The sequence below is a fragment of the Homo sapiens genome, chromosome 22, assembly GCF_000001405.40.
Source record: "Homo sapiens chromosome 22, GRCh38.p14 Primary Assembly".
Taxonomy (NCBI): domain Eukaryota; kingdom Metazoa; phylum Chordata; class Mammalia; order Primates; family Hominidae; genus Homo; species Homo sapiens.
In genome coordinates, this window is record NC_000022.11 from 48,952,875 (window position 1) to 48,962,899 (window position 10,025).

The following is a 10,025-nucleotide window of genomic DNA, read 5'->3' on the forward strand; positions in this document are numbered from 1 at the left end:
CTCAGAATACCAAGGGCCACCTGCTGTAGCTAACGGAGGGGCCTTGCAGGGCCAAGGCTTCCCCAGCCCTGGACCCCCTTGCACTGGACACACGGCTGCCGTGACCCACAGCAGCTCCTAGGGCTGCTGCAGATCAAGTCTCAAGGACAGAAAGGTTATGCTGGGGAGCCGGGACCCCTTCTCCTCCCCTTCTGCTCAGGCGTTGCCCCCAACCTCTCAAGGGGCCTCCAGGGCCATTTAGTGTGGTGGCCGTGAAGCCACGTGGCTGCGTTGTTTAATGTGGGGTGGAGGGTTCTGCTCCTGCGTGGCAGAGCACTTGGGCCAGGGCCCCGAAGGTTGGGTGTTGAGTTCCTTGCTCTGCCATCTGTAAATAAACTTGGACAGAATTTTCATTGATCTCATCTGCGAAATGGGCATGATAAATAACAGCAGCACCCTCTCCACCTCCGTCAAAAGACAAAAGGGGAACTTTGTAAACTCTCAATTTGTGGACAGATGATGGTCAGCATTCCTTCCTCCTCCCTTTCTTGGCCCAGCCTGTTCCACAGAGGAGCACTTCCGCCCCATAATAATGCAGTGAGGGGCACATGTCCATGAGAACATCCAGCAGCAGCCCAGGCTGAGCTCAGCGGCAGCGTCACACCCAGGCTTCAGCAGTTTGTACTCACAACCTCTTATGATCAGCGCAAGAATCTTAGAACAGAGCTAGCATTTCCCCCATGTTACAGAGGAGGAAACTGAGGCCCAGAGAGTTTCAGCAACTCCTGTAAGATGGGACACTGTCATTCCCAAGCCTAAATCTGTGACCCCTCCATGGGCAGCAGCTCCACAGGGAGAGGGAGCCAACATCCTCATCCCTGGGCGCAACATGCTTTCCTTCCATTATGTTCAAAATTTCACAGCGAATAGATGAGATTTTCTAAGCAGTACGATGCCCCTGAGAAGACCATTTTGTTGTCTATGATAAGAAATCATTTTGGATAAAAAGTGACTGCTTCAGATCTACAAGCCACAAATCGAATTAGACGTTTTGCTTTTGGGTCTGAACCTCTGCAAATAAGACACGTCATCTGAAGACAGAGGGGCGCTGGGGTCATCAGCCATCCAGATAGGAATAAGCCAGGTTTCCTCCAGGGGTGCCCAGCGGAGCAGGTACCAGTCAACAGGGCTCTGTGCCGCCAGCGAGGTCCCAGCACGCAAGCGGACACATTTCCGAACGGAGCTTCTCAGAATCCTGTTTGGGTTACTTTACTCTATTTTTGCTTCTAAGTGATTAGATAAACAGATGGACCCCCCCCCCCCATGCCCAGAGCATTTCCAGAGAGGATCAGCTTCATATTTCCAATCAATTAAAAAAAAAAAAAAAAAAGACGAAGGCTGCTGTCGTGGAAAGATTACTAGCTGTGTTTTAAGAAAAGATAGCTCCGGCTGGGGGCGGAGCTCACACTTGTAATGTCAGCACTTTGGGAGGCCGAGGCGGGCGGATCACGAGGTCAGGAGATCAAGACCATCCTGGCTAACACGGTGAAACCCCGTCTCTACTAAAAATAGAAAAAAATTAGCTGGGCATGGTGGCAGGTGCCTGTAGTCCCAGCTACTCAGGAGGCTGAGGCAGGAGAATGGCGTGAACTCGGGAGGTGGAGCTTGCAGTGAGCGGAGATTGCACCACTGCACCCCAGCCTGGGCGACAAGAGCAAGACTGTCTCAAAAATAATAAAAATAAAAAATAAAAAAAAGAAAAGATAGCGTTGGAGCTATCTCTGCCCCCACGTTCCCTAAGGAACTTCTGTGACGCTATGGCTTCCAGAGTGTGAGGTGCTTTCTCATCCTTCCATGAACATGCGGCGGGAAGGTGACACCTTCGTTAGGGAGCCCCCTTTGGGCTACACTGGCACGTCTTTCTCCTTGTGCACACGTGGCTCAGAGGGGCCGCCGTCCAGACACGCAGCCAGCCCTGGAGGCTGGGGCTTCCCCTAACTCCTCACAGCCATCTGCTTCCCTCCCACCATGCTGGCCCCATCAGGTCCCCCTGCCCCTGGGGCCTCCTGTCCTCATCCCCCAAGCTGGGCCCTGGCCAGAGCAGCTTGAGGAAGATGGAATTTTGACTCACAAGGTCTGTTCTTTGCTGCTTGGCAAAATGGAAGAATAAAGTACCTGTGAGAACCGCGTGGTGGCCTCCGGGGGGCCAGGGCTCCCTGTTTCCTTAACAATCCCAGAGACCTGGAGACTGGCCAAGCCCACATGTGGACAAACCCAAGCAGGACTTTCCCGTCTTCTTCGGCTCCTCTCGGCTGACTTTTAAGCCGGCCCCGTGGGGTGTGGCGTTCCTTGTCACAAGCCGCAGAATTCAGGGTTTCCCCACTGCTGCCACAGCCTAATACTTGTCTTGTTATTTTCTTGGGCTAAGGGTTCTGACCAGCACGCATCTTTGAAACGAGTGAGAATGATGTTCCAATTTAATCTCGCAGCATCGGGAGGGCTCCAGGCTCCAGGTGGGTCTCCTGGGACCATTTAAAACGATTATATATGAGCACAGTGCTGAGAGAAGAGCCCCAGAAACACTTACTCATCAAGACACACAGCCACCAGGGCTCGGGAAATGACCTGGCTTCATAAAAGCAGCCACACTCATTCATTCACGCGCTCACGGAGGAGGCCGCGGCGCCGAGCCCTCCCAGGAGTTTCTTTCACTCTGTCGCTTTAGGTTTTGAACACAGTGCACTGCACCTACGGTTTTAAGATCTGCGAAAATGGAGGCTTCTCCTCCGTCCTCACGCAGGGAAGCAGCACTGGAAGCATGTGCGGGCCGTGTGTGTGAGCATCTGCCGATGTCTCGGGCTGGAGGCTGGGACACTCATCCCGGCTGGAGCTGAGCAAAGGCTGCTCATGGACAAGGAGACAGGACTGTGTGACCACCTGCCCCGCTGTGCCCCACGACGGCACCTCTCAGTGGGATGCCTGGGGCCTTTAGCGCCAGGAGTGTGCAGGCCAAGGCCGGCGGGCCTATGGTCACATTCCTGGTGACTTGGTACTTCTCACCTTGGTGAGACTGCAGAGTCAGTGCTGCCCAGGGACACGCAGAAGGAAACCCACAGGTGAGGCTCCGGGCCACCTGCAGAGATTCCTGGGAGCATCCTTGTGGCCTTCCCTTGAGGTGCCCTCACTGCTCACCTGCCCGCAGAGGCCAAGCTGAGGTTCGGGGGGCCAGCTCCTGCTTCCATTCCTACGATGATGCCTTCCTAACTCCAGTACAGCTGTCCCCGCGGCTCGCCCCTCACCTGTGTGCAGCTCTGCACCTGTGGACACAGCCCAGCCCCAGGCCCTGATGAGAACGAAAAGGGGAGAGACAGGCAGCTGTGCACCACCCACGATCCTGGGAGCCAGGCGTCCACCCCAGAGGCTCCTCCCAGACAGGGTCAGCCTAACCCAGCTCCCAGAAGGCCCAGATGTTGCAGGGGCCCGACCACACACACATGCACACCACACACACACATCCCACACCATAATCATACACACACATCACACACATACACACACATCACACACATACACACCACACCACAACCATACACACCACACCACAACCATACACACACCACAACCATACACACCACACACACACATCCACCACACACATCACATACACTTACCACACACACAAAGTCACATCGCAACCACACACACACATACACACATCACATACACAACACAACCACACACAGCATACACAGACACACACTACACCATAAACATACACACACGCCACAACCACATTCACACCACACCCACACACAACAACCACCACATACCACACACACACAGCATACACAGACACAAACTACAGCATAAACATACACACACACCACAACCACATTCACACCACACCCACACACAACAACCACCACATACCACACACAGCACACACCTCTCACAACACACCACAAACCACGCACCACACACCACACACACCACCAACCAAAACCACACAACCCCCCCACACACACACCACACACACACACCACACAACCCATCCCAACACCACATACCCCCACACACATCACACACACATGCACACACCCTACAACCACACACAAACCACACACCACACACATACACCAAACACCCTACAGCCACATACCACATACACACACACACCACAACCATGTACCATAAACCACACACATACCATACCACACACCACTCACTACACCCACCCACACTCAGGCATGTAGCTCACCACACACAGGCACCACACTCACACACAGGCACACACACACTCACACACACACCGACACACACAGGCATCAAAACATACACACTCACATACACACAGGCACACACAGCCATCACAACACACACACAGCACCCCCCAACACACTCCTTCCTTTGACTGCTGTCTACACAGCCTCCAACACGAGTGCAGGCCAACCTGGGCGTCCCGAGGACACACATCCTTCAGTGTTGGGCCCCAGGCCACTGTGAGGGTCAGTGTGGAGGGAGTGCCTTGCCCCGCCGCCAGACCCTTGGCAGAGAAGGCCTTGGTGGAAGGCCCTGCTCCTGGCTCTTGAGTGACGGCATCCGAGGCTCACCTCCAGCCAGCCCCGTGCGAGGAGCATCCCCCACGGTGCCTGGCCGCCTCCTGAACCTCAGGAGTTCCCAACACAAGGTCCGCAAGAAGCAGCCGTGCCATGAGATCCAGAAAGCGGGAGCCGCAGGGACAGGCCTGGGCAGAGACCCCTGACTCCAGGCAGAGGCCATCTGTCCTCCTCCCACTCCCGGGACCTGGCTGAGGTGCTCCAGCCCTCCTGGGCCCACAGCAGCCTTCAGACCCGACTCAGCTGTGTACTCTCCTTGCACCACGGTGACTGTGTCTCGGTCTCTCCTCCATGATCCCCGACACACACCCAGCACTGCAGCCACCACATTCACCCCATGTGCACACCTGGGGCCCAAAAAGACTGCAGGTTTCTCAAAGATGCCTTGCAGAAGTCATCGGGGAACCTCCAGCTCTGACAGGGCCTGGCCCAGACTGGGTTCTAGAGAGGCACCGCTGAGCTGGCTCCTGCCCTGCATGCATTCTGCCACGTAAGATGACATTGGGGCCTGTGCTTTACATCCTCTGCCAGAAAGAAAAAACATTCAGGGCCAGAACTTGGCCCTCCAAGTCCAAGGCTGGCCTTAGCACCGGGAGGGATGGGGCAGATGGCCCTGGGGAACCACAGCCTGACCCTCCCTGTTGGGACCCCACAGAACTCGAGGTCATTCCCACTGCTCTCCACTCCCACCACCACCCCCAACGATCTCTTTCCACCCCACAGTTGAGCACTTTTAGACACTAGCTGCAAAGGGAGAGATGATTGATTCATTATTAATCTCTTCCAACCTTTGTCTATGGCGGGAACGTGCTACCTGTGACCTTTGGGGAGTGAGAAGCCTTGCTGTTTGTGTGCCGGGTGTCCTTGTTAGACCGAGAGGGACCTGTGCAATGAGACATGGGTTTCAGTTTTGGGCACACAAGCGTCAGTAATCCACAATTGAATGATGCTGCCATTCACAAAGATGAACTAAGGTCATTATCTACCCTATTAAGGTATTTACAACACGTGCCTTCCAAGGAGAATGTGGCTCCTCCCACTGTCCCATTGTCCAGGCCAGGGTGATCTGAGTGTTGGAATCCCAGGGTTGAGGGGAGTCCAGGACTGGCCTCCCTCCTCTGGCTGCTGGGCAGGCTGATGGATCCAGGCTGATTCGCAGAAGATTTGGAAAAGATGAGAGCTCTTAGCTGCTTTCTGGTCTTTGCAGCAAAAACCTGACCTGCAGGCTTTCTTCAGGCTTCTCCAGACCGACCAGGAGGAGGTCATGCATGGTCAAGGTCATGTCTCAGAAGAAGCCTCTTAAAAGAAAGTTGGAAGGGTGGGTTTTCATAAATATCTTTTGGTGAAGGCAGATGCTACAAGTCTCTTTGAAAATGAAGACTTCTTTTCCTGAGAATTATAAGAAAAGATATGAAAGATATTAGTAGATTAACTTACAATATAGAAGCCCGGAAAAGCCATTGAAATCCACGGGTACAGGCACAAGGAAGTATAGGACAATGAGGTGAAATGAGCTGAGATGATATAACAACTATAAGAGGGAGAAAAGAAAATCCCAGCCTGCTATCAGCGCTGCTATTACTAGTTTTGACAAGAGAAATATGCTTTCATGATGGGATATTGTGTTTTCAGTGAGTCTAGTAATGAAATTTTTAAAAACCCAGTGACGATCCAAATTTTAGCTAGGAAGCCTATTATTAAAATTGATAACACCAGCCTAATGTATTCTAAGTTATGGGTACAGGAGATGATAAATATTGAGCATTTGCATTGTATAAAAATGTTTTAGTAGATGGTTTTGTAGTCAGGAAGATTAGCTGACTCTTTGATTGGCTGCTACAGAGCAGGAGAATAAAGATAAATGCTGTAAAACGCGTATGTACCTCAAGGGAAGTGTTTGAAATGATAAACGGCTTCCTTGTACTCCTCAAAAGCATTTACTTCTAATCATTGCATCCCATTTCTTATTTGGACCTGAAGTACCTGCAGGAGAGCAGAAGGCAGGCCCAGGAGCGCAGCCATGGGCACGTCTCTCTCACCATCTCCTCTGGCCACAGGAGACAGGGTTGAGGGTGAGGGCCGGTGGAGTGTTTCCATCCCGGGATAATTTCATAGTCCATACTTGGGATGTTCATGTCCCTGAGCCCACTCACCTGTCTCTTATTGAACCTCCTGTCCCTGGGGCCTGGAGTCCAGAGCCCCTCCCTGCAGACCTGATTTGGGATGTTCACGTCCTTAAGCCCACTCACCTCTCTCTTCTCGGACCTGGTGTCCCTGGAGCCTGGGGCCTGGAGTCGGGAGCCTCTCCCTGCAGGCCTGATTTGGGATGTTCATGTCCCCGAGCCCACTCACCTGTCTCTTCTCAGACCTCCTGTCCCTGCGGTCTGGAGTCTGGAGCCCCTCCCTGCAGACCTGATTTGGGATGTTCACGTCCCCAAGCCCACTCACCTGTCTCATCTTGGACCTCCTGTCCCTGGGGCCTGGAGTCCGGAGCCCCTCCCTGCAGACCTGATTTGGGATGTTCACGTCCCCGAGCCCACTCACCTGTCTCTTCTCGGAACTCCTGTCCCTGGGGCCAGGAGTCCGCAGCCCCTCCCTGCAGACCTGATTTGGGATGTTCACGTCCCCGAGCCCACTCACCTGTCTCTTCTCGGACCTCCTGTCCCTGGGGCCTGGAGTCCGGAGCCCCTCCCTGCAGACCTGATTTGGGATGTTCACGTCCTTGAGCCCACGCACGTGTCTCTGCTCGGACCTCCTGTCCCTGGGGTCTGGAGTCCGGAGCCCCTCCCTGCAGACCTGATTTGGGATGTTCACGTCCTTAAGCCCACTCACCTGTCCCATCTCAGACCTCCTGTCCCTGTGGTCTGGAGTCCGGAGCCCCTGACTGCAGACCTGATTTGGGATGTTCACATCCCCGAGCCCACTCACCTGTCTCTTCTCGGACCTCCTGTCCCTGGGGCCTGGAGTCCGGAGCCCCTCCCTGCAGACCTGATTTCGGATGTTCACGACCTTGAGCCCACTCACCTGTCTCTTCTTAGACCTCCTGTCCCTGCGCCAGGAGTCCAGAGCCCCTCCCTGCAGACCTGATTTGGGTTGTTCACGTCCCCGAGCCCACTCACCTGTGTCTTCTCGGACCTACTGTCCCTGGAGCCTGGAGTCCGGAGCCCCTCCCTGCAGACCTGATTTGGGATGTTCACGTCCTTGAGCCCACTCAGCTGTCTCATCTTGGACCTCCTGTCCCTGCGCCTGGAGTCCGGAGCCCCTCCCTGCAGACCTGATTTGGGATGTTCACGTCCCCGAGCTCACTCACCTGTCTCTTCTCGGACCTCCTGTCCCTGGGGCCTGGAGTCCGGAGCCCCTCCCTGCAGACCTGATTGCTGTGCGTGCCATTCTGCTGGCTATGATGTAAGTGAAAAGCCCGGTAGTCCCCACTTCCTTAAGTGGTTACAGTTTCTCCCCCTCAACAGACTTTGTTTTCATTGTCGTCCTTGTTGTTTCCTCCAGTCATTGTCACTGGGCCATAAATGTGGATGACATGGCACTCAATGACTATTGTCTGAAACGTGAAGATGAAAGCCTGGGGTGAGAAGGGAGTCTCCGTTTGTCCAGGTCACAGGCAGTGCTGGGCATAGAGGTAAGGGAGGCACCTAGAGGCAAAGCTGTAAGGGTATCCTCACTCTCAGTTTACACCCTGGAGGATGGGCACCTGCATGCACTCTGCCCCTTGGGCACCTCCCCCGCCTCCCTTTAGCCTTGGCAAAGGATTGCAGGGGATCCCTGTCTTGCTGGCGTCAGCCGGGCTGGGAGGCACTCATTTCCTATCCTGGCAGCCAGTGCTCACACACTTCTGGGGTTCACCTTTTACAATCTCATTTAATTATGCAGTGTTCAGTGGAAAGTTGTTCAATCTCTCTTTCCCAGCCCCCAACTCAGTCGTGAATTCCTAGTAGCACAGTATCTTTTCTTATGCTGTGACCTCAGCACGCAGCTCAGAGGCTGAGCTCAGCGAGTTGGGAGTGACTAAGAAGTGAGGCATTTCTTTCTCAGTGTGAAAAAAATATTCTGGAATTAATGATAATGGTCACACAATACTGTGAATATACTGAAAACTGTTGAATTGTATATTTTTAAATGTGAATTTTATGCTATGTACATTATATCTCAACTTCAATAAAAGAACGTTGTATTAGTTTGTTCTCACACTGCTAAAGATATACCTGAGACTAGGTAATTTATAAAGAAAAGAGGTTTAATTGGCTCATAGGTGTGTGGGCCATACAGCCTTCTGCTTCTGGGGAGGCCTCAGGAAACTTACAATCATCACAGAAAGCGAAGGGGAAGTAGGCATATATTCACATGGCCAGCAGGAGAGAGAGAGAGGGAAGGGGGAAACGCTACATACTTTCAAACAACCAGATCTCATGAGATCTCTATCAGGAGACCAGCATGGGGGAGGTCCACTCCCATGATTCAATTACCTCCCACCAGGCCCCTCCTCCAACACTGGGAATTACAATTCAACATGAGATTTGGGTGGGGACACAGAGCCAAGCCATATCATCTGTGGAGACATCTGCTCCAGACCAGATGGGATAGCCCCAATTCTCCCTGCTCTTTCTTCTTTGCTAAGCATAGCTATAAATTCCAGAAATCACGCAAGAGACAAATAAGACAACCCTGGAAGATGGTAAGAAGAGGCAAGCTGGTTTGGCGCTCCAAGGCTGAAGGAACAGCACAGCATCAGGGTCTCTCATGTTCCCCCTAACCAAGAGAAGGAAACCAAGACCCAGAGATTCCATAACCCTCACTTAGCAACACAGGGTGGCCAACCTAGGCCCTTTCCTCCTTTGGACTCTGCAGAAGTACCTCTGACAACACCAGGCAAGGCTGACACCACCTGTAAGGGGATTGATTTTGGTCCCTGAAGGAAACAAGCAGCAGGGTGGATGGGGGAGGCCCTTCCTTTCCTTGCTGGGCCTGAGATCCCTTATTCCACTGAAAGACAGAGATTAATCAGCAAAGCTGGCAGAGGAGACCCAGCTGCAAGGAAAGCCCTAGCCTGGGAAGTTTCTTTCTTCCCACATTCCCAAGACTCCCCTCCCCACACTGAGACTAAGGCAAGAGCAGTACCAGTGGGGGTGCCTCACCATAACTTTCCCACAGGTAGACACCCAGGGGCCAAGGGAAACTCCTTCTTGCCTCTAAGGTGACAGCAGCAAGAACCAATGTGAGCCTCAATGGAACCAGATAAACCAAGAACACCAAAACAACACGGCAGGTACTCTGGACAGTTCACCTGCGATTGGAATCACAGCACAAGGAAGTCTGCCAGGGTCTGCACAGGAAACATAAACAGATGACTGCCTGCTAACGTAAACGATTTAAGTGGAACCCAGAGTGTCCTCTCATTACAGACAAAATGTCAGGAAT

At 53.1% G+C, this 10,025-nt stretch overlaps 1 annotated feature.

The window, feature by feature from the left end:
• Positions 7,083 to 7,928: an enhancer, noted in NCBI's record as "H3K27ac-H3K4me1 hESC enhancer chr22:49355769-49356614 (GRCh37/hg19 assembly coordinates)". NCBI's record gives its function as "activates a minimal SCP1, AML or CMV promoter by ChIP-STARR-seq in primed H9 embryonic stem cells {active_cell/tissue: H9 hESC(primed)}" and the evidence as "EXISTENCE:reporter gene assay evidence [ECO:0000049][PMID:30033119]".